This window comes from Homo sapiens, chromosome 17, assembly GCF_000001405.40.
Source record: "Homo sapiens chromosome 17, GRCh38.p14 Primary Assembly".
NCBI lineage: Eukaryota > Metazoa > Chordata > Mammalia > Primates > Hominidae > Homo > Homo sapiens.
In genome coordinates, this window is record NC_000017.11 from 8617852 (window position 1) to 8641534 (window position 23683).

Below are 23683 nucleotides of genomic sequence, written 5' to 3' on the forward strand. Positions count from 1 at the left end.
ATTAAGGACCCCAAAGACCTTTTGTTTCATATAAAATATAAAGTTTTATAAATATCTATTTATTCTAAAACAATAAATACATTACATGTTAACATAAATAACATTTCTTACGAAAAATAACTTTTCATTTTCCAAAACAAAAGTGAGAAGAATGGCACTGTTTTATATTCTTGCAAAACTTTTATTGTCTGGCTTAATCGAAAACAACTCAATTTTCATGTCTGTTTCTGTATTCAGTCTACTGTAATACGTTGTTTTGGATGAAGCATATGAAGAAAAGCAAAGCAGACTTACAGATATTTAGTTGGAAGAGAGAGGAACGGTTTAACAGTCTTTTCAGATAACCATGGATATTTATCTTTGATACTACTAAAACTTAACATGATAATTTCCTTTTTTCTTTTTTTTTTTTTTGAGATGGAGTTTCGCTCTTGTTGCCCAGGCTGGAGGGCAATGGCACGATCTCAGCTCACTGCAACCTCTGTCTCCTGGGTTGTCCTGCCTCAGCCTCCCAAGTAGCTGGGGCTACAGGCATGTGCCACCATGCCTGACTAATTCTGTATTTTTAGTAGAGACAGGGTTTCTCCATGTTGGTCAGGCTGGTCTCGAACTCCTGACCTCTGGTGATCCGCCTGCCTTGGCCTCCCAAAGTGCTGGGATTACAGGCGTTAGTCACTGCGACTGGCCAACAAGTGATAATTTCTTAAAAATTAGATGTAGTGTAGCATCTGAAACCCTATCAGTGAACTTCTCATATTCCACTGCATCAAAATCTACGGTTTACCTTGCGTATTGAACAAGTCTTTTTACCCATGCATGATTTCATAACACCATACACACATCATCTGGAGAATACTGGCTCACTAAATATGCAAGTCTTTCAAATGATGACATTTTACTGTATGACATCAAAAAAACCCACTTTCATTATTATCACCATCTATCATATCAGAAAGGTTTTTAAGTATTGACATGCTGTCAAGTTCATGGTGCTAGATACAAGTTTCCTAAAATTCTAATTTTCACATAAAAACTCAAATTTTACCATTGGCAACAAATACAGTCGGTTGTTTTCTTTGAAGTGACAGGCTCGTTTTGTTCATTTTCAAGAAAATGTCTGCCAAATACCTCTGTGTGAGTAACCATAGTTTATCAGCCACTCTATCAAATGAAAATAGCATTCTACTTAAAAAGTAGCAAGTTTAGCTTGCAACTCAAATAACTACCCACATGCTCGTCCTCAAGGCAACCATCATACATTGATATGCATCAAAAGTCCTTTAGGCATACTTACCATTTTGTCACACTGAATATTAAAAAGATGTGTTCTCAAAGGTTGAGATTTAATAAAATCAATTATTTTTCCTGCTTTACCAAGGACATTCTTGAGTGAAACTGCATTTTTTTTAAACTGCCAATAAGTGGCAGTGAAGAATAAAATGGTGCTAGTACAGTTTGGTACTAGTACACTGCCTTTATTCATGATAAGGCGTCAGGAGTTTTATTCATCATTGCTTTTGAACCGTCACTACAAATATCAACAGTAAAAAGGGCCGATGACATATTCGTATTGTTATAAAAATAGTTTTGACCTTGTGTGCTCCCCTGAGAGGGTCTCAGGGAAATCCTAGGGGGTCCAGACCACACTTTGGGAACTACTGAGTTACATCAACGTAAAACAGTAAGAATAAATCTTAAAAATGTAATCCTAAGCCAACAACAACAAAAGACACAAAAGGCTACACACTATGAGATTCATTTATATAAAAATTCAAAAACAGGCAAAACTAGGCAGGGCACGGTGGCTCATGCCTGTAATCACAGCACTCTGGGAGGCCAAGGCGGGTGGATCACTTGAGGTCAGGAGTTCAAGACCAGCCTGGCCAACATGGTGAAACCCCATCTCTACTAAAAATACAAAAAAATTATCTGGGTGTGGTGGCTCGAGCCTGTAATCCTAGCTGATAGGGAGGCTGAGGCAGGAGAATCACTTGAACCGGGAGGCGGAGGTTGCGATGAGCCGAGATCGCACCACTACACTCCAGCCTGGGCGACAGAGCAAGACTCTGTCCCAAAAAAAACAAAATCAAAAACAGGCAAAACTAAATTGTCATTTAGGGATGCATACTTCATTGATAAACCACAATGGGAGATTTTTCACACATTTTTCTCAGTAACTGACAAATCAAGCAGACAAAAAGTAGCAAGGCTATGGAAGATATAAACAATACAGTTAAAAAGCTTAATCTAACAGCCATATATTGAACCCTATATCCAACAGTAACAGAATACACATTCTTTGCAAACACAGACCACTCATAAAAGCTGACAATATACTACACAAAAAAGTCTCCTATATGAACAATATTCTGTGATTGAGATGTAATTATTTTAAAAATGAATAATAAAAAGATAACTTAAAAATCAACATTTTGAAATTTTACAAATACACTTTTAAATGGTTCACTAAAGGAATCATCATAGAAATTAGAAAATATTTAGAACTGAAGACTAAATACTACATATAGAAACTTGTGATGTGAGCTAAAACAGTATTAGAGAAGACATTTACAGTTTTTAAACTGTTTTATTAGGAAAGAAGATGAAAATTAATGACCTGAGAAATTGGGGGTCAGAGAGAATAAATCCAAAGAAAAGGTAAGAAAATAAAATAACTAAACCTGTTAGCAAGCTAATTTGTTTAAATAAATTTATGTTATATCTTATCTATAGAAATATGTCCAAAAAAGGTTCTACCCAAATTATTCTAGTATCTATATTATTGAACCTCAACTGATCATCCCAACTGGCTGGTTAATTCCAAAGCCCAATACATATTTATCACAATGCTAGCATGGCTCTCCCCATCCCCATCCTCTTAACGACACAGACTTCTTTGGAGTCAAGTTCTCCAACTAGAACCTTAGGTAAGAACCCTTTCTCCACCCAACTAATTGAAGATATGATCCTCCCAAACCCCGACCTCTGTGTGACCTTGAGACTTTGAGAAAAACTCAGATTCTCCTGTAGAAGGAGGCTGTGCTTTGAAAAGAAACTCAGAAGTTCACTCAGGTTGTCCATGAGTTAAGTTGGAAAAAAATCCAACAAACTCAGTAAGAGATAACTGTAAAATCTCTGAATTATGTGGAATGGCTGCAAAACAAAAACAAAAACAACAAAAAAACACCTGTCCTTTCTTTCATTCCTTTTCTACTTAGCACCCTTTGCAGCTACCTCCAGCTGCCAGTGTGGGAAATTAAGGTGAAGGCTGGCAGAAAAGCAGCCTGGCTCCTCTTCACACTGCACAGTTTTTGATGGTGACATCACATTTCCATACCTGCACAATTTATTGCAATGGGCTTCATCTGAAACTGATCAACCTCTCAAATCTTACATGTCGACATTACAATCTGACCATAACCTCTTAATTTTGCAGTTTTCTCACTCCTTCACCCCATGATCCCTGTTCCTCAACATTCTGAAAACTTCCAGGCCTTGATCCATCAGCCCCTCCCACCCAGACTCCCATTCCTACCGAACGAGGACTCCAAAGACGGCCACTGAATCCCCCTCTCACTGTGGAAGCCATGCAGATCCAAAGCCCCCCACACTCACAGACCTGAGACAATCCCATGGTCTGGCAAAATCACATAGCCAGGCAAAATTGCGGTCACCCTACACGTGGTTATTCAATCTCAGCTGGACTCTCAACGCCACTCTCCAGTCGCTTTCTTATCCCTGGCTTAGTCTGAAATTGGAAAAGGGTTGTTCCTAAGCCTTTCCATTCTCCTCAAGCCACCGTTCCAACCCTGTGGCCTCTTACTCTCCTACCTCATAGAGAAGAAAATAAGGGAGATCTATCAGGCTTGGTTGAAACTACTCTGGCAAAGGTCATGAATGAATCATTCTTTTCTCAGCTTTTCTCGTGGCTAGCTGCCTCCCACCAGTCAGACTCCAGCTCAAATGCTACCTTCACAAACAGCCCTTAACTGACCCGCTGGAGAAAGCCATTCTCCTACTTACTCTCTCCATAGCCTTGTTTCATTTCCTCATTGGACATTTCAGAAAGGCAGAGAGACCTGGCCTGTCTTCTTCACTGTACTATCCCCAGCACCTAGAGCACAGGGGGTGCTTAATAAATATTCCTTAAACTAATTCTGTAGGAAAACTAGCTCTGATTTACTGAAGTTTTGAATTATTCATGACCTTCAGTAGCACACTCCTTGTGTAAAATTCAACACCCCTTTTCCGATTTCAAACCACGACCATCAACTTTTCTTCCTACTTCCCTTCATCGTCAGTTTAAGTCCCACACGTGCCACCTTCTTCAAATCATTGCCACCTCTGTCTACCATTCCCTCAAACCTATTTTGTCATTTTAGATTTTTCTTTTAGTATCTGGCTTACATTTTTCCTCTCTACATTATCCCTCTCTACATTATCCCTTATGATTTTCAATAACTTCTTCTACATGGTCAGTGACAAAGTCGGTGACTCCAACATTCATGTCAGCTGCTAACCACAGGACGACCCCAGCCAGCCTCAATCTTACCCTAATTGTTTCCTCTTAAAAACCTCAGCATTCATCTTTCCTACTTCCCTACTACATCCAGTGAAGCTGTTCATGCTGTCCACAGAAATTTCTCAGCTTACAGCCCCTCCACTTTACTCTTGGGTATGCACTTGATTTTTGACCGTTTTGCTGTCTGCGTCCAATTAATGCAACTCTCTTTACCTTATTAAACCTTCTGGTCTTCCTGTTACATGCTCTCTCCCACCTTATTATGCTCCAGAAGACCACTACAAAAGTCTTCAAATGCCATTTTATTATATGTAATTGCAGCCTGTATTATTTAAACTTAATGTGTTAAGATTCAAAGAAAAGCAAGACATGGGTAAGCAAGCAACAAATCTTTCTATCTTAAAGAGAAATAGAAATGTTAAACAGAGAGTTTGGGTATTCCACATTCTCATTTGATTATGACAAGATGTATAATTTACATTAATTCCTAGCTACCACTTCACATGATTATTTGGAAGAAATACTTACATAGATTAGTCCTGAATAGTAGCGATCCTTCAGATTATGTAAAACGGAAGCTTCATTCAAGCATGTCAATTCTGCCATATCCTCCACCTTGGAAAACTTAGGTGGGTTCATCTTCTGAATATCATCTTTGTTGACCATTGCTTTCTTTCCATTCTCTGCCAACTCCACCATAACTTCATCTCCCCGTTCTTCTTTGATACTAGCTGCCTCAAAACCATGGCGTTCTGATGGAATCCACACTAGCTTTTTAGCTGTCCAATCAGCTTGAGTGGCAGGGTTGTAGATGACAGCCCTGTCCACAAAGAGATACCTCTCTGGATCCTCGAGTCCAGTTCTCTGCGCCATTGTAAATGGAACGATCCAAAAGCAATTGCCTCTAAGAGAAGAGGAGGAGGGCAAAATTAGATGTTTAAGAAACAAAAGAATGTACACGTTTTTCTTTTCTAAGAAACTTAAAACCTTAGATTAAGCATTAACTCTGTGTTAAGGAGCTGGGGTATACCTCTTCACAGCCATACTAACCGAGTTTCCAAGGTAAATTTCAGCGGTGACCACAAATTATGGCTCTGGTTGTCTGATGGGTTTGCCCTCAGTTACTGAGGGCAAAAAAAAGAAAAGAAAAGAAAAGAAAAGGCAAAGTTACAAGTTGACCCTTTTTTTTCTTTATCTCCTCTTTCACCCTCACCACAAATTAAACAGGGAGTTAAGAAGGGAAAAAAAAAAAGAAAACAAAGATGGGTAATAAAAGGTTCATGAAGTGGTACCAGAATTAATATGACCACAAGGAAACAGCTACAAAAACACATGATTGTCAGAAGAGTAAAGAATCTAAAGAATCTAAAACATGCCTCTCATTCTACCCTCAGATAACAGACTTAAAGTTCTTCTTATGAATAACCCAAATCAGTCTCCCTCTAGCTTTTCTATGGCCCCATGAGGTCTTAATGTGATCAACTGGGACCACAAAAGACAAGCATAACTTGGCTTCACACGGCAGCCTTTTGAATATGTCATGGTAGCAGTTCAGGCCTCTATTCCCATCCTGCAGCTCCTCCACCCCTCATTCACCAAGACTCCTTCCCCTGCCGGATCTCTCGCCTAAACAGACTCCAACATGCTGCTTGTCTTCCCTCTAAAGTGTGTGGCCCAGAAGCAAACATCATAGCCCAGATATGGTCTGACCAGTGCAGAAGAAAAAGGAACCATCAACTATCTTAGCCACATTGAGGAAAGTACTGGTTCTGTGACATTTACAATTAATGTATCTCAAGACCTAGTTGTTTTATTTAGCACCCATTTACCATTGGCTCACAAAGGGCTAGCAGAGGAAGCTCCATCACTTTGTGGCTAAGCTATGTCCCCTCCTCTACTTGTGCACTGGCTTTCTGGACCAAATGGCAGGATTTTACATCCATCATCTTTCTAATGTGACTCATCATGATTGCCTGACAGGATCTTTTTGGGATTTGATACCAACTTAAACATTTTTGCTGCTACTCCAAATTCCAGGTTATTATAAATTTCATAGGCATGGCTTCCATCACTTCATTCAAACCAACAGAAGAAGCCAACTGAGTACCTACTCTTGCTCTATCAAATCCCCACTTCTCCCCTCTGTTCACTCCACTCCCCTAGCCAAAAATGCTAGAGGTTCTTTGTAGGCAAGAGGAAATCATAAAGTAGTCTAAGGTTGTTAAGAGGTTCTTGAGTCCATCAGCTAATCTCAACTTCAACAAAATCCCTGAAATGGTATAAAAATATTATGCACTTAGCGTGTGTATATATGTGCTATAACGTTCTCTAGATTCTAAAGGGCTCTATCTGTATCCTAAAAGATTAATCACTGATAGTGGTTACACATTCAACCAACTTCTGGGCACAATGGCCCATAACTGTTATCTCAGCAACTTGAGGGGCTAAGGTGGGAGGAGTGCTTGAAGCCAAATATTTGAGACCAGCCTGGGCAACATAGCAAGATCCCGCCTCTACAGAAAAATTTAAAAATTAGCCAGGCGTGTTGGTGCATATCTAGCCCTTTAACTACTACTAATAATTTACTAGAACCAGCTGGGTGCAGTAGCTCATGCCTATAATCCTAGCACTTTGGGAGGCCGAGATGGGTGGATCACCTGAGGTCAGAAGTTCGAGACCAGCCTGGCCAACATGGTGAAACCCCATCTCCACCAAAAATAACAAAAAATTAGCCAGGCGTGGTGGTGGGTGCCTGTAATCCCAGCCACTCAGGAGGCTGAGGCAGGAGAATTGCTTGAACCTGAGAGGCGGAGGTTGCAGTGAGCTGAGATCGTGCCACTGCACTCCAGGCTGGGTGACAGAGCAAGACTCCGTCTCAAAAACAAACAAAAATAAATTTAAAAAAATAATTTACTAGAACCAAATAGCTAAGATTCTTCAGAAATTACTTGTTGCAATGTAATGCGTTACAAACACTCATCTTCTATAGTAGCGGCTGTCAAATTCAGGCATGCATTTGCAGCACCTAGAGGGTTTATTAAAATACAGATTGCTGGGCTCTATCCCAGAGTCCCTGATTCAGTAGGTATAGGGTAGAGCCTGAGAACTATTTTTTTTTTTTTTGAGACAGAGTTTCACCCTGTTGCCCAGGCTGGAGTGCAGTGGACGCAATCTCAGCTCACTGCAACCTCTGCCTCCAGGGTTCAAGTGATTCTCTTGCCTCAGCCTCCCAAGTAGCTGGGATTACAGGCAGGCCTGCACCATGACCCGCTAATTTTTGTATTTTTAATAGAGATGGGGTTTCACCATGTTGGTCAGGCTGGTCTTGAACTCCTCACCTCAGGTGATCCACCTGCCTCGGCCTCCCAAAGTGCTGGGATTACAAGCGTGAGCCACCGCGTCCAGCCTGAGCCTCAGAATTTGCATTTCTAACAAGTTCCCAGATGCTGCTGCCACTGCTGGTCCTGGGACACATTTGACAACCATTGCTCCAAAGTTCTGTGGTTGCCATGGTGCGCCACTGCTACCAGCAGGTATGTTAGAGTAGAAAAAGAGGTTGAAAACCAAATTCTAGACTAATTCATAACAATTTAAATAACATGTTGATGTCTTAAAGGTTATAGACTTGGATAAAACAAAAACCGCAAAATAAGATGAAACAAAAAATCACACAACATGTGATTAATGTTATTAAAACTTCTATACAAATAAAATTGCTAACACATTTTATACCTAAACTTGCATTAGTCTTCTAAGACATCCTCTTTGGAGAGGGCAATACAGAAAACATTCATAGATACATGTACATTCTGCATAACAGTTTTAAAAGCCTCTAGGGACTGGTCTAATAACACTATTAACAAGTTGTCTCTTTCCAACTTAAACGTTGCACACTGGTAAAAAGAAAGGAGGCCAGGTGGGGTGGCTCACGCCTGTAATCCCAGCGCTTTGGGAGGGCGAGGCAGGTAGATTGCTCGAGTCCAGGTGTTCAAGACCAGCCTGGGCAACATAGCGAAACCCCGTCTCTACAAAAAATACAAAAAATTAGCTGGGCTTGGTGTCACAGGCCTGCAGTCCCAGTTCTTCAGGAGGATGAGGCAGGAAGATCACTTGAGCCCAGGAGGCAGAGGTTGTAGTGAGCTGAAATCACACCACTGCACTCCAGCCTCGGCAACAGAATGAGACTCTGTCTCAAAATAATAATAAATAATAATAATAATAATAATAATAATAATAAGTAAAATAAAAAATTTAAAAAAAAAGAAGAAAGGAGGCATGGCTTCAAGGTGGGAAACATCACAGGTAAATTTGAGAACAAATAATAGGATACACACTCCACCTTTCAGAAGGGTAGAATCTATTAAAAGAAAATATTCAACTATAACAAAATATGACAAGTTTCTCTTACTATTCTTATCAGGTGTAAACTGCATATCCTACAGAGCACTTAGGAAACTGTCTTGCTGTCAGTAGACACGCACACACTTCTTAAATTTTACACTGGACATGTAATTAGATGCTTAAATTTAGCAGGTGACTATAAATTAGAATAATTTAACAAATAACTTCTAGAACAGGTCTAGAAGCAGTAGATTATATATCTTAAAATTATTTTATCAAATTGGGACATCTTACATATTATCAGTACTTTTTCTAGATGGGGAAATGCTTGTAATTTAGTATTTTAAAAAACCCAGTAGAACACAAAAGTGTAATTACACAGCATGTTCCCAATTTTGTGGGGAAAACTACATACACGTGTGTATTTTTTTTTTAAACGGAACAAATATTCATTGGGTCTTTACTGGGTAGTAGGATTACCAATGACTTTCACCTTTTCAGTCTCTTCTACAACTAAACACTATGAGGAGAGTCATCTGTTCCACGCTGTATCTTGAGCATTTTGTCTAGTCCCTGGTATATAACAGGGGATCTGTACCTATTGATCAATATTTACGTGAATGGTCCCAACCCTCATAGTGAAATTCAACTTCTCCACAACCAAAAAGCTATTATTCCTTCAACTCCTGACCCAAATGCCATCCTTTCAGAAGTTCTTTTCAGGTCAATGTGGCAATTTAATCCTTTTCCTTCTCCTAACATTTTGTACTGTTCTCCTGACTTTCTTCTTACCCTACCCTGCGTTGTACCAGAGGGCTTTGCAGCTGTTAAGTGTTCATATTATTGTTTACCTGATAGAGTTCATGAGACCATTGGAGATATTTTGTTCAGTTTAATTCTTCACTTGTAATTGTCAAATACATTTATTTCACTCCATAATACATTGGTACCCAATCTGGATAATACTGGTGTTTAACAGTGTACCACTCACCAGTGATTTGCTTTGCAGGAAGGACAACACTATGATTTTTAAAACAGCAGATACCATTGTCATATATCACTAATTATGGCCAGGCACTATTCTAAGCAGTTTACATACATCAACTCTTAATCCTCACAACAGCCCTATGAGGTAGGCACTATTAATATCTCCATTTTACAGATGAGGAATCTGAGGTACAGAGAAAGCCAATAACCAGCCCAAGGGCACACAGCTAACAAGTAGCAGAGCTGGGATTAAACTCAGAGTTCAGCTCCAGAGTACACACTACAATGATGGAAGGTGACATGGAGGAAATTTTGAAGGGTGTGTAGTGTACAATGCTATATACTACCTTTCTACTAAATAAAAACCCAATCAATTACGGCTTAAAAAGTATAGGCTTAACCAATGAATCATCTGGCAAAGGTTTTATATATTTTATAGAAAAAGATACCCATAACTTAGGGGAAATAAAGACAAACAGGAATCTTTTTGTTAGCGAACATAAAGATGGTCTGAGGGTTATTAGTGTCATTTTAAATTGCTGCCTAATTACAATTAAATCATTTATCTGTGTATGAATTAGCCCCCTACAGAGCCAAAGTTGCCATCCCTTTCAGTGGTTTGACACACACACCCCTGGGGCTCCACCCCCAGGTCATTTTTCACTTCCAATGAAATGTCACCCAGCAAACTTTTCAAATCCCTCCCAGCACCTACTATGAGTGTGGACAGAGGCAAACAATTCAATTTTATGAACGGCCTGCACATAGAAAGGCAAACAAGAAGGATGGATAAATTATCCATGACAGAGCATCCATCTATAACAGATGAGCTAAAACAGAACTGTCCCAATTTGGGTACTGCTACCATTGAGGTCACTTACATGACAGGGCTGGACGAGTCTGCTAATTTATCAAAATCCTGCTCAACCCAATGATCACAAACACAAACCAAACACAAAAGGCCACTATTGCTACTTATGGCCTGCCCCATCTCCCAATTAATATCTCTATACTGTGTTTAATATTTCCAAAACTAGGATCCAACACCAGGAACTTTAATTCCTCACATGTGATAAAGTGCATAAACCGCTGAAGCATATAGTCTTCCACCCTACAACGTGCCCTTCAAGATTTCCTCCATCTCACCTTCCATCTCAGCTGCCTTCGTTATAATGATTTCCCTATGGAGCCCAAATGAAAAGCCAGGCTCGCAGGGGTCACATCCTTCTGCTGCCAAAGCTCGTGCTATATCGCACAATTACACCATATGCTTTCTCCAGATAAGGACGGGGAAGAACTGAATTTAAGATGCAGAAGTAAGGAGATGCATAAAATGGCCACTTTTCCAGAACCCGAGACAGGCAGGGCATACTTAAACATCAAAAGCAAGGGACTCAAAGAATAATTAATAAAGGCAGATTGATGAAGGAGATAAAACAATAAATAGATTATAAAGTTTTCCAGAGTGAGATACTATCAAGAATAATTAAACCTGACTCAAAGAATCCTCAGTTTCAACGTTAAAAAACAAAATCTCAGCAAAGCCAAAGTATTATGTTTGGTATTACATTATTCAGCGAAAACAGCAGTCTTTGTTTCATCTGCAGTCTGCATCTACCCCGCCTGCTTTCCCCTACCCCACCCCAGCCCACCCCACCCCCTTCCATCCACCGCAGTGATCTTGAAGGGAGCTGCAGAGGCCCTAAAGAAACAGAGATAACGGCTGTAGGCAGAGGCCACGTTATCCAAACCTCACCAGCCCGGTCTGACCCGCCGAGTCGCCAACCTCCTTCCTAAGGCCCTAGTTCCAAACAGGCCTGGCTGGGGGCCTCCCGCTTCCCAGGGCCGCATCCGCCCACCACAGGCCCACAAAGCCCCCACAAATGCCAGGACTCCGCGGCTTCAACTTCCCTCCGAACCAATTCCAGTCCGATTTTATGGGATCAGGGTGTGACCCCCAACTGCAGAAGGCAATGAAGAGACTGCGGCGAGCCATTCCCAGCTCGCTTACACAATAAAGGGATCCCGAGGCGAGTGCTGACCCTCCCCCCGGCCGTCCTGCTGCAGCGCGCCCCGCCACATTTCCCGCCTCGCCCCCTCAAACCGCCTGGGCCTCGCAGGGCGTCCACCCCCGGCCTAGGCGCTCCACGGAGGGCGCGGCAGGACGCCCTCCTCCCGCGCTCCTTCCCCGGCGCCGGCGGAGTCCGACCCTCCCCACGCCCGCGGCCGGCTCCGGAGCCCCTCACCCGCCGCGCGCTTCCCCGGCCGCGCAGAGCCAATGCCCTCCTGTCCCTCCACCCACGGGTCGGGCGCGCGCCGCCCGCCTTCCAAGCCCATGGTGAACCCCTCTGGTGCTGCGGGGGACCGGTCGCGCCAGGCCTAACCCACCCAGCAACCCACGCAGGGGCCCTTCCTGCCCAGCGCCCCCCCACCCTACCGCCGGGACTGCGCTTTCCAGCCCCGCTTAGAATCCCCTCTCTTCCTGGGAGGCAGACACTGGCTCGCGGGGCACGCCGAGACCTCCGCCGGGACACTAGCCCCTCGACCTCGCGCCCCCAGGGATCCCACCCACCGAGAACCTGGTCCTCACGTCCCCACCCCCAGATCTCCATCCCCCAGCCCCCCAGGGGTCGCCCTCCTGCACACCCAGGCCCTGACCCCCGCGGGTTTCACAAGGACTTCATTCCCCGCTCCTCCGGGAGTCTCTCCATCTCCACCCACTGAGGTCCCAGTGCCCCCAGCCCAGGACCCTGCTCAAACTAACCTAAGGTCCCCGCAGCACAAACCCTACAGCTCAGAAGCCCCTCTGTCTTCCCCAGCTCCCGCTTCGGTCCCCCGTTCCTGTCCTCCAGAGCCGCCCGGGACCCCTCAGCCCAGGAGCCATTCCTCCCTCCACAAACTGTCCCCCAGCCCTGGGCCGTGCACTCGGACCCGGGTAGCCGCACCTCTCACCTTCAGCCGAAGATGGTGGCGCGGGCGCACGTCCCCAGCCGCGACCACAGATCCAGCGCCTCAGTCCCAAACCCACCGCTGCCTCCGCCGGGCTCCTTTAGCACTGCTGCTCGGGGCTGCCCCACCCACCCCTACCCTCATTGGGCCAGCTCCACGCCCATCACCGCCGCCCCCAGACCCACTGGTTGGTTTGCGCGCCCATCTCCAAGGGAAGACGTTAGCAACCCGAACGAAGCTACCTTCCCGAGTCCGGCTCCCTCCACCCACCTGGAATGACGCTCATTGGCTCCCGCTCCCAGCCCAGGCCACAGAGGCCCCAATCTCATGGGCTGGCTCTTACGCCCGTCATAGGCTCCGGGAGGTGCGGCCGGGGCAGTGGCGCGGGATTGGCTGGCTCGTGCGTAGATGGACAGCTGAGGCTGGCTGAACGCCCGGCGATCCCGCGAGGCTGCGGGTGCGGGCCCCGCGGCGGCCGGCGCGCTGCGCTGACATTGGCTGTGCGGGCCGCGGGGCAGGTGGGCCGCGGCAGGAGGCTGGCGCTCTGACTGCAGACTCCTCGTCCTAGCGTCAGGCAGCCGCCGCAGCCGCAGCACATTCGAGCGCCCGGTCGCCCCCTGTGCTTGCGGCAGCCGGCATGTACCGCAGCGGGACGGGGTTCCACCGCGGAGTCGCGGGCCCTCAGCGTTGCCTGCAGGGGCGGGGCGGAGCGCGGTCCAGAGTCCTGACGTCACCCCCGGGGCTGCGCGGGGTTGGGGCCGCGGCGCTGCGACTCACCTGCAGTGGGGGAAGGAACGCGGGGGAGGGCGCTGCTCCGCCCATGCGCACAGGGTTTGGCCCGGGACCCGGCTGCGCTCCACGCTGCGGCCACTGTCCCGACCCCGGCCCCAGGCGGACTCTGCCGGGATCGGCCGAGCGCCAGGCGCAGGACACGGTCCTCCAAGGTCGCAGTTTTGGTGTTAGCGGGGTGAGAGGCTCTCCTGCCCAGCCTCCAGGCAAGGCTGAGATTCCAGAAGAATGAGAAGAGAACCGACCTTGGAGAGAAAACTTGGAAGAAACTTTATTCACCTCATTCATTCACTCGTTCAGTCGCTCCTTCATTCATTCATCAGAGCTCCCTACGTGAAGGGCTATGAGAGGTTCTTAAGAATATAAGGCTGGATTCCTGTAGCGCTGTCATATCCCCTAGGGCTTATGAAAACGTTGGAGACTGAAAAACAGTGGCCCCAAAATAACGAAAGGAAACTGGAAAAATCAAAGTAAATAAAATTTAATGAAATGTCTGCAGAATCTAGGCAACTGCAACAAAACTCTTGCATAATTATATATAAATATAATAAAGTCTAAATCACATGAACAAAATGAATTATTCATACAAAACCTGAAAGTCAAGATCATAAAAATTCACAGCAAGATGCAGTTATTAATCAGTTATTAATGTAGGCTATGGGAGCATTTTAATACATGTGATAATGATGTGTTTGCCTAAGCCTAGGAAACGTCTAGTCTGGCAAAAAGTGAATTAAGCAAAAAACAAGGCAGGAAGTCCTAAGGAAGGGTTGGTGGAATTCAGAAGAGGCTGGAAGGCAGCTGAGTGCAGAGTCCTTCCTGGGGAAGTCCGAACCAGGCTCTGTTTTGTCCTTTGTCCTGCTGCATCTGGTCCCCCACCCCCACCTGCCTGCTGGGGTACTACCCCGTGTCCAGGTGTCTTGTGACTTGGCTCTGTGAAGAGGTCTGTCCTTCTAATGCAGTCTGCACATGGAGTACAAATTAACTTTCCAAAATATATGAATGATATTCCTCTAATGAATTTTAAAATGTGTTTAGAGAAGACCAAAGACTCCCTCTCTGAGGCCTGAGTCTCCACTTTGTCAGCCACCGAAGTCATTTCTCAGTGCAATGTTCTATGCTTAGTGCATCCACTCGCGAATAACACTGTAAGCCACAGAGTCAGTAGTTTCTCATAATTCAAAAACTTTTGCATATATATGTGTATATATATGTATATATGTATATATATGTGTGTGTATATATATTTTTTTGTTTTGTTTTGTTTGTTTCTTTGAGATGGAGTCTCGCTCTGTTACCAGGCTGGAGTGAACTGGCATGTTCTCAGCTCACTGCAATCTTCGCCTCCCGGGTTCAAGTGATTCTCCTGCCTCAGCCTCCCTAGTAACTGGGACTACAGGCGCGCGCCACCACGGCCAGCTAATTTTTGTATTTTTAGTAGAGAGAGGGTTTCACCATGTTGGCCAGGATGTTGGCCTCGATCTCTTGACCTCGTGATCCGCCCGACCCGGCCCCTGAAAATGCTGGGATTACAGGCATGAGCCACCGTGCCCGGCCAACTTTCACATAATTTTAACACAAACTCAATGGACCATCAGAAGAGGAGGGCAGGAAGTTCACCAGAAGGAAATACCATAAAGACATTAGTCTTGATGAGAAATTAATAATAAAGAGAATATCCCCAAATGTATCTTTCCCCCTGGTGGCTCTTTGGCACTTGGGCCCTACATGTCCAACTGCCTGGATGAGAGGGGGACTGCAAAAGCAGAAGGTACCAAACCTATTTTCTTCTATCACCCTTTCCCACTACTCAAACTCTCTCTTCCCAACTTCTTTGTGAATGGAACCACTCTTGCAATCTCTTTCTTTCCTTTCTTTTTCTCCCAACACCTAGCCCCACTATATATCTATCATCCATCCCAGGCAGCCTCCTCTGACTCCAGTTCCAACCATGTAGCTTCATCCCAGAATTTGCTGCCATCTTGATGAAGAAAGCACAGGATTTAGAAGCAGATAGACCTGGCTTTGAATCCAACTTTGCCTTTCACAAATTACTTAACCTCATCTCTCAAAAGGGGATACAAATGTATACCTAAAAGACTCGTTCATGAAGATGGAGCATAATGATTTCCTGTAAACAAAATGTGGCATTATAAATAGATTGAAAATTGTCCCTTTTTCTAGTGTACATGTTTATTACAGAAGACTGAGGAATCTTTCTCCTCTCTCTCTCTCTAGTAATTTTTGCTGTCGGTCTAGGCTGCTTTTATCTCCAAAAGAAAAAGTTCACAGACTATTGTTTTGCAGGGTCTAGGTCAGAAGTCCATATTTGTTCCCTCAGGGCAGTTCCAGCCCCTGAACTTGTTTTGTTCCATCTGTACAGGATATACAGCATTTTTTAAAAAAAATTGAATGAATTCCAACATTTAAAAACCAAGCACTATCCCATATCATTAGCCATTAGGGAAATGCAAATCAAAACTACAATGAAGGCCCAGGCGCGGTGGCTCACGCCTGTAATCCCAGCACTTTGGGAGGGTGAGGTGGGTGGATCACTTGAGGTCAGGAGTTTGAGACCAGCCTGACCAACATGGTGAAACCCCATCTCTACTGAAAATACAAAAAATAGCCGGGTGTCGTGGTGGGCACCTGCAAGTCCAGCTACTCAGGAGGCTGCAGCAGGAGAATCATTTGAACCCAGGAGATGGAGGTTGCAGTGAGCCAAGATTGTGCCACTGCACTCCAGCCTGGGCGACAGAGCGAGACTCCGTCTCAAAAAGAAAAAAAAAATTTTTTTATTTTCTTTCTCAAAAACAAACAAACAACAACAAAACAACAACAACAAAACACTATGAGATCCCACTTCACATATACTGGAATAACTATAATAAAAAAGATGGACAATAATAAATGTTGGTGAGGATGTAGAGAAACAGCAACCTTAGGCCACTGCTGGCAGGAACGGAAAATGGTTCAGCCACTTTGTAAAATAGTTTGGTGGTTTCTTAAAAAGTTAAATGTATTCTGTGTTTTTGACCACAGTTTTTTTAAAAAGTTAAACATAAGACCGGTGGCAGTGGATTACGCCTGTAATCCAAGCACTTTGGGAGGTCGAGGCGGGTAGATCACCTGAGGTCAGGAGTTTGAGACCAGCCTAGACAACATGGTGAAACCCCGTCTCAAAAAAAAAAAAAAACAAAAAAACAGAAAAACAAAAAAAAAAACTGTAGAGACAGAAAATAGAATATTTGCCTGTGGTGAGGACTGGGGCTGGGGAGGAGAGTCAGCACGGTGAATGTAAATGAGAGATCTGATTGAGTTGATGAACTGATTTATGGTGATGGTTGCAGAACTTGGTAAATTTATTTAAAAAATTATTATACACTGCGAATTATATGAATATGCAAAATGTACCTTAATAAGGTAATATTTGAAACATAAAGAAACAAAGAGCTATCAAGGCGAGTGGATCACCTGAAGTCAGGAGTTTGAGACCAGCCTGGACAACATGGTGAAACCCCGTCTCTACTAAAAATACAAAAATTAGCTGGGCGTGGTGGTGGGCGCCTGTAATTCCAGCTACTCGGGAGGCTGAGGCAGGAGAATTGCTTGAACCTGGGAGGCGGAGGTTGCAGTGGGCCAAGCTTGTGCCACCGCACTCCAGCCTGGGTAACAGCAAGATTCTGGCTCAAAAAAAAAAAAAAATTTAAACATAAATTCACCATATAATCCCACATTTCTACCCTTAGGTGTCTACCAAAAAAGAAGGAAGACCTGTGTGGACACAAAGACTTGCACACAAATGTTTATAGCAGCATTATTCATAATAACCAAAAGATGAAAACAACCGAATGGTCCATTAGCATGGTGAATAGTCAAAAGTGGTCTATCCATACAACGGAATATCATTCAACAATAAAAAGGAAGAAACTATGAGTACATGCAACAACATAGGTAAACCTTGAAAATATCATGCGCAGTGAAGGAAGCCAGACACAAGAGACCACATATTGTATCATCCAATTTATATGAAATGCCCATAAAAAGCAAAGCTGTAGACCAGGCGTGGTGGCTCATGCCTGTAATCCCAAGACTTTGGGAGGCTGAGGCGGGTGGATCATGAGGTCAGGAGTTCGAGACCAGCCTGGACAACATGGTGAAACCCCGTCTCTACTAAAAATACAAAAATTAGCCAGGCGTGCTGGGGCATGCCTGTAATCCCAGCTACTCAGGAGGCTGAGACAGGAGAATCGCTTGAACCTGGGAGGTGAAGGTTGCAGTGAGCTGAGATCGTGCCATTGCACTCCAGCCTGGGTGACAGAGCAAACCTCCGTCTCAAAAAAAACGAAGAAGAAGAAGAAAAAAAAAAAGCTGTAGAGAAAATAGAATATTTGCCTGTGGTGAGGACTGGGGCTGGGGAGGAGGGTCAGCACAGTGAATGTACATGAGAGATCTGATTGAGTTGATGAACCGATTTATGGTGATGGTTGCAGAACTTGGTAAATTTATTTAAAAAATTATTATACACTGCAAATTATATGAATATGCAAAATATACCTTAATAAGGTAATATTTGAAAAATAAAGAAGAAAAGAGCTGTCACATGAACATCGAGATTTCTAGCTTCCCTTGAAAAATTGGAAGGTATGGAAATTCAAGCAACAATTTGTCGATGCCTTGGCTGCTGCTCATTTTTAGACAAAGTGTGTGCTTCCCAGGGTGCCTTGGTCACTGCCGCTCCTTGCTGTCTGTTTTTTTGTTGTTGTTGCTTGTTTGTTTGTTTTTGAGATGGAGTCTCGCTCTGTTGCCTAGGCTGGAGTGCAGTGACGCTATCTTGGTTCACTGCAACCTCCACCTCCCGGGTTCAAGCGATTCTCATGCCTCAGCCTCCCAAGTAGCTGGGATTACAGGCGTGTGCCACCACACCTGGCTAAGTTTTATATTTTTAGTGGAGACAGGGTTTCACCATGTTGGCCAGGCTGGTCTTGAAATGCTGACCTCAGATGATCCACCTGCCTCAGCCTCCCAAAGTTCTAGGATTATAGGCGCGAGCCACGGTGTCCAGCCCCTGTTATCTCTTAAAGCTGACCCACTATGCTCATTAACATTATTTGCCCCATCTTTTTAGGTATTTATTTGAGTTTTCAGTCTCTGCCATACGTGTTGGGGGGCTTCATGTGAGATCATCCCAGAGAGATAAAAAGGGTAGTGTTTTTGAGTTGAAGAATTGTTCCTTTGACGGTGGTAAGGCCGTGGGAGGTTTGGGATGTCTAGAAGTGTAGACAGGGGTACCCTTTGAACATGATTCCTGGAAGCAGTAGAACCTCAGGGCGTGGACTACCGTGATGGTCATCTCACAGCCCACTCAGGGCAGTAACACCAGACCAGTGAGAAAGATCAGTGCTCAACTGTGATATCTTGAGCAGAAGGAGTGATGGTAAAAACAGAGGCTTCAATGAGTTGAGAAAAAAAAGAAACTTCCAGAATTTTCTTGAGGCACTTAAGCTCTGGAGATCTGAAAAAACCCAGGAGAAGAGGTTCCTGAAAATTGCTAATTTAACATTTCTCATCAACCATGTAGGATTTGGCTAAGTCAGATTTAATTTGGTTTAGAAAAATGAAGGCATGCATTATGCTAAATGAGGTAACTCAGGAATGGAAAACCAAATACTGCATGTTCTCACTTATAAGTGGGAGCTAAGCTATGAGGATGCATAGACATATAGAGTGATATAGTGGACTTCCGGGATGGTGGGAGCAGGGTGGGAGGAGGGTGACGGAGAAAAGACTACATATTGAGTATAGTGTACACTGCTCAGGTGACGAGTGACTAAAATCTCAGAATTTACCACTAAAGAACTCGTTATGTAAACAAAAACCACCTGTACCTCAAAACCCACTGAAAAAAAAAATAAGCCAGGCGCAGTGGGTCACACCTGTAATCCCAGCACTTTAGGAGGCCGAGGCAGGTGGCTCACCTGAGGTCAGGAGTTCTAGACCAGCCTGGCCAACATGGCGAAAGCCTATCTCTACTAAAAATACAAAAAAATTAGCCGAGTGTGGTGGCGCGTGCCTGTAATCCCAGATACTCGCGGGGCTGAGACAGAAGAATCGCTTGAACCCAGACAGGGAGGTTGCAGTGAGCCACGATCATGCCACTGCACTCCAGCCTGGGCGACAGAGCGAGACTCCATCTCAAAAATAAATAATTAATAATAATAATAATAAGGAAAAGGAAAATGAAGGCATGATAATCCTATCCCCCTAGCATCTTAGTCAAGCCATACCTGTGACAAATAGTTATTGAGTATCTTTTGTGTCTATGGGCTGGGCCAGGGTACTGAGGAAATACCTGTAATAACGTAGACATGGTCCTTCCCTCGAAGAGCATAAAGTCTAGCAGGAAAAGTAAACAGATAGGCAGATAGTTGCAATTGAGCAAAAGTTCTAAATCCAGAGTGCCCAGAAACCCAGAGGGTTTTCGGAGTTCTATAAAACCTCTGAAATTGTGTGCAAAATTTATCATGTTCTCTTTTTTCTGGAGAGAAGATTTAGCTTTTAGCAGGTTCTCATAGATGCCTCTCATCCAAAAAGGTTGGGAGAATACAATATAGTATCGCCAGTGCTACATTATGGAAAACACTGCAAGATCCAAGGCCGAGTTAAGAGGGCCACTTAACTCAGAATGGTGGGGGTTCCAGAAATTCTTCTTAGAGAAAGTAATATTAAAAATATTATCTGGGCTGGACGCAGTGGCTCATGCCTGTAACCCCGGCACTTTGGGAGGCTGAGGTGGGCAGATCACGAGGTCAAGAGATCGAGACCATCCTGGCCAACATGGTGAAACCCATCTCTACTAAAAATACAAAAATTAGCTGGGAGTGGTGGCGTGTGCCTGTAGTCCCAGCTACTCGGGAGGCTGAGGCAGGAGAATCGCTTGAACCTGGGAGGTGGAGTTTGCAGTGAGCCGAGATCACGCCACTACACTCCAGCCTGGCGACAAAGCAAGACTCTGTCTCAAAAATAAAATATATATATATATATATATATATATATATATATATATATATATATATAAAATCTGAAGAATAAAATGTTAACCAGACAAAGAGAAGAGGAAAATTCTGTCAGAGAGACCAACACAGAGAGAAAAGAATGCAGGGCTTTCCAAGCCCAGGAAGAAGTTGAGAGTAGCTAGAACAAAGAGAAGAAGCACGGAGGTAGAGGGAGATATGGAACAGAGAGGGTAGGCGGGCCGGCTGTATATGTAAACCATGATGTGGAACTTAGATTTTATCCAGAGCTCAGTGGGAGATTTTATCCAGAGCTCAATGGGGGATCTGTGGGAGAGTTTCAACTGGGGGAGTAACATGACCAGGTTTGTGTTTTAGAAGGCTCATTCTGGCCCTAAGGTGGATGAATGGATTAAAGTGAGTCGGAGGAGGCCAGTTAACAGGTTGCAGCAGCAGATAGCCCAGCTCAGAGTGGATGGTGACTTGGACTAAGGAGGGGCCAACGGGTGGAAAGATATGGTCAGATTGCGGTGATTGCCACTGTCAGGATTAAGTGAGATATTTAAAGTGCCAAGCCAATGTGTGAAGATATTGAAGTGCCTACCATAGTGCATAAGGATATTTATAGTGCCTGGCACAATGCTTGACACATCGTAAGTTGATTCCCTTCCTCTTTCTTCTCATGGCCTCCCGGACTAAAAACAGTCCCTCCCCATATCCTGTACACACTTTCATTAAAACAGCTATTAAAAATCCTTACACTTTTTACCCTCTATCCCTGTATCCTCATTAAAAACCAGCACTGTCCAATAGAGATAGAATGTGAGCCACCAATCACGCTACATATATAATTTAAAATTTTCCAGTAGAGACATTTAAAAAGTAAAAAGACACCATTCACATTAATTTTAATCATATATAAGCAAATACATATAGAATGTTACATTTCAACATGTAATCAATGAAAACAATGATTATTAGGATAGTTCACTTTCTTTTTTTCATGCTAAGTATTCAAAATCTGATGTGTGTTTTAGGTTTACAGCACATGTCAATTCATACTAACCACATTGTAAGTGCTCAACAGCTACATGTGGCTGGTGGCTACCATATAGGACAACACAGTGCTAGACTGTAAACTCCTGGCAGGAAGGGCCAGCTTGTATCCCCAGGAACAACTTAGTGCTCGACACATAGTAGATGCTCAATAAATGTTTATTGGATAAAAAGATGACAGGATGGATGGATTAATGTATGGATAGGTGGATGGGAGAAAGGATGGATGGATGGATGGATGGATGGAAGGAAGGATGGATGAATGGATGGATGGCAGGATGAATGGCAGGATGAATGGATGAAGGAAAGAAGAATAAATGGATGGATGGATGGATGGATAGAAAGAAGGATGGATGGACAGCAGGATTGATGGCAGTATGGATGGATGAAGGAAAGAAGAATGAATGGATGGATGGACAGATGGATAGAAAGAAGGATGGATGGACAGCACGATTGATGGCAGTATGAATGGATAAAAGGAAAGAAGAATGGATGGATGATGGATGGATGGATGGAAAGAAGAAGAGCTGGATGGTAGGTTGACAGGATGGGTGGATGGGTGGATGGATGGATGAGGAGATCCCTTTCAGCTTTGGGGAAGAGATAGTGTTGTAGCTGAGTCTGAAAGATGAGCAGGATGACAACAGTTAAGGATGATGGGCTGCAAAAGGCAAGCATGGAAGGAACCAAAGCATGGCAAAGGCAAGGAAAAGTGATATCAGGAAATGGTGGGAAGTAATAGAGTTTGGTTAAAGTATGTAATGCCTGCTGCACAAAAGAAAGTGGGAAGTGATCCTGGAGATTCCTAAATCTGACACCAAACCCTATGTACAACAGGGAACTCCCAAGCTTCTAGCATTGTTTGCTTCAGTCAATATTTGAGGGACAGATGAAAAGAGAAATGAGAGGAAGAAGTAACGTAAAGGAGGAAATACTAACAAAAAGAAAGAAAAATGTTGACAAAGTGGTAAGAATTACTGGTTTTAGTGTTAGCAAATAACAAGTAATAGGAAAGCTTACCAGAGGACCCTTGCCATTATCCTTTCCATCCTGATGGAAAGAGGAACAGGTCACAGGAGGCGAATAGCTTGAGAAGCCTGAAGTCTGGTCAGTAGATCAGTGGTTAGAAAATAATATAGTGTTGTTGGTCTCAGAGTTTCTGCTGTTCCCTGATGGATCAGACCTGTAGGGAATGTGGTGCATTTGCTGGTACAGAGGGCCCAAGCTTGACATCAAGCCTGATTGTTGTCACATGACACAACATTGCTGCCACCTCCTTTTTAAGGAGCCAGGGCTGGTTTGCTTCCTTTCTGGTCAGTCCTACACATCGAGCATTAGAGGAAATCAAGATATTGCCCTGGGTTTGTTGAAAATAGATATTATTCTTCAGGCAAAAAAGTATGTGGGCATCTCATTGGAAGTTGTTTGCAAAATCCAAATCAGTTGTTTTCTTGAAAGATATTTTTATCAAAAGCTTTAAAACATCCTTTGTGATACTGGGAAAGTTCCTTAACCTCTCTGAGCTTCCATTTACTTGTCTGAAAAACAGGGATAACAATACTTACTTCAGGCTGGGCACGGTGTCTCACACCTGTTATCCCAGGACTTTGGGAGGCCAAAGTGGGAGGATCACTTGAGCCCAGAAGCCAAAGTGGGAGGATCACTTGAGCCCAGCCTGAGCAAAATAGGGACACCCTATCTCTACAAAAAATTTAAAAATTAGCCAGGTTTGGTGTTGGGTGCCTATAGCCCCAGCTATCTGGGGGGCTGAGGTGGGAGGATCGCTGGAGCCCAGGAGGTTGAGGCTGCAGTGAGCTATGATGCAGCCACTGTGCTCTAACCTGGGCAACAAAGCAAAACACTGTGTCAAAAGAAAGAAAGAAGAAAGAAAGTAAGAAAGAAAGAAAGAAAGAAAGAAAGAAAGAAAGAAAGAAAGAAAAGAAAGAGAGAAAGACCTACTTTATAAGGTTGCTGTAAGGTTAAATACAATAAACTAACACTTGTAAAGGTTTTAGCACAGTGGCAT

At 43.9% G+C, this 23683-nt stretch overlaps 1 protein-coding gene across 4 annotated transcripts in view, besides 6 other annotated features; it reads right to left on the reverse strand.

The window, feature by feature from the left end:
* MYH10 (myosin heavy chain 10) overlaps positions 1-12874 on the reverse strand; it is a 156514-nt gene extending 143640 nt beyond the window's left edge. For all 4 annotated transcript variants that reach the window (NM_001375266.1, NM_005964.5, NM_001256095.2 and 1 more), the window contains exons 1-2: positions 12803-12874; positions 5051-5426 (exon numbers count right to left, since the gene is read on the reverse strand). In NM_001375266.1, coding sequence (NP_001362195.1) covers positions 5051-5395 — 345 coding nt within the window. In that variant the 5' untranslated portion in view covers positions 5396-5426; positions 12803-12874. The remainder of the gene's footprint in view (positions 1-5050; positions 5427-12802) is intronic.
* Positions 11247-12025: an enhancer, noted in NCBI's record as "H3K27ac hESC enhancer chr17:8532416-8533194 (GRCh37/hg19 assembly coordinates)". NCBI's record gives its function as "activates a minimal SCP1, AML or CMV promoter by ChIP-STARR-seq in primed H9 embryonic stem cells {active_cell/tissue: H9 hESC(primed)}" and the evidence as "EXISTENCE:reporter gene assay evidence [ECO:0000049][PMID:30033119]".
* Positions 12026-12803: an enhancer, noted in NCBI's record as "H3K27ac hESC enhancer chr17:8533195-8533972 (GRCh37/hg19 assembly coordinates)". NCBI's record gives its function as "activates a minimal SCP1, AML or CMV promoter by ChIP-STARR-seq in primed H9 embryonic stem cells {active_cell/tissue: H9 hESC(primed)}" and the evidence as "EXISTENCE:reporter gene assay evidence [ECO:0000049][PMID:30033119]".
* Positions 12804-13581: an enhancer, noted in NCBI's record as "H3K27ac hESC enhancer chr17:8533973-8534750 (GRCh37/hg19 assembly coordinates)". NCBI's record gives its function as "activates a minimal SCP1, AML or CMV promoter by ChIP-STARR-seq in primed H9 embryonic stem cells {active_cell/tissue: H9 hESC(primed)}" and the evidence as "EXISTENCE:reporter gene assay evidence [ECO:0000049][PMID:30033119]".
* Positions 12804-13745: a biological region, named in NCBI's record as "H3K27ac hESC enhancer GRCh37_chr17:8533973-8534750".
* Positions 13066-13745: a silencer, noted in NCBI's record as "silent region_8185". NCBI's record gives its function as "represses an Ori minimal core promoter by ATAC-STARR-seq in GM12878 lymphoblastoid cells {active_cell/tissue: GM12878}" and the evidence as "EXISTENCE:reporter gene assay evidence [ECO:0000049][PMID:35858748]".
* Positions 14280-14574: an enhancer, noted in NCBI's record as "tiled region #9864; HepG2 Activating DNase matched - State 1:Tss". NCBI's record gives its function as "activates a minimal TATA promoter and a strong SV40 promoter by Sharpr-MPRA in HepG2 cells {active_cell/tissue: HepG2}" and the evidence as "EXISTENCE:reporter gene assay evidence [ECO:0000049][PMID:27701403]".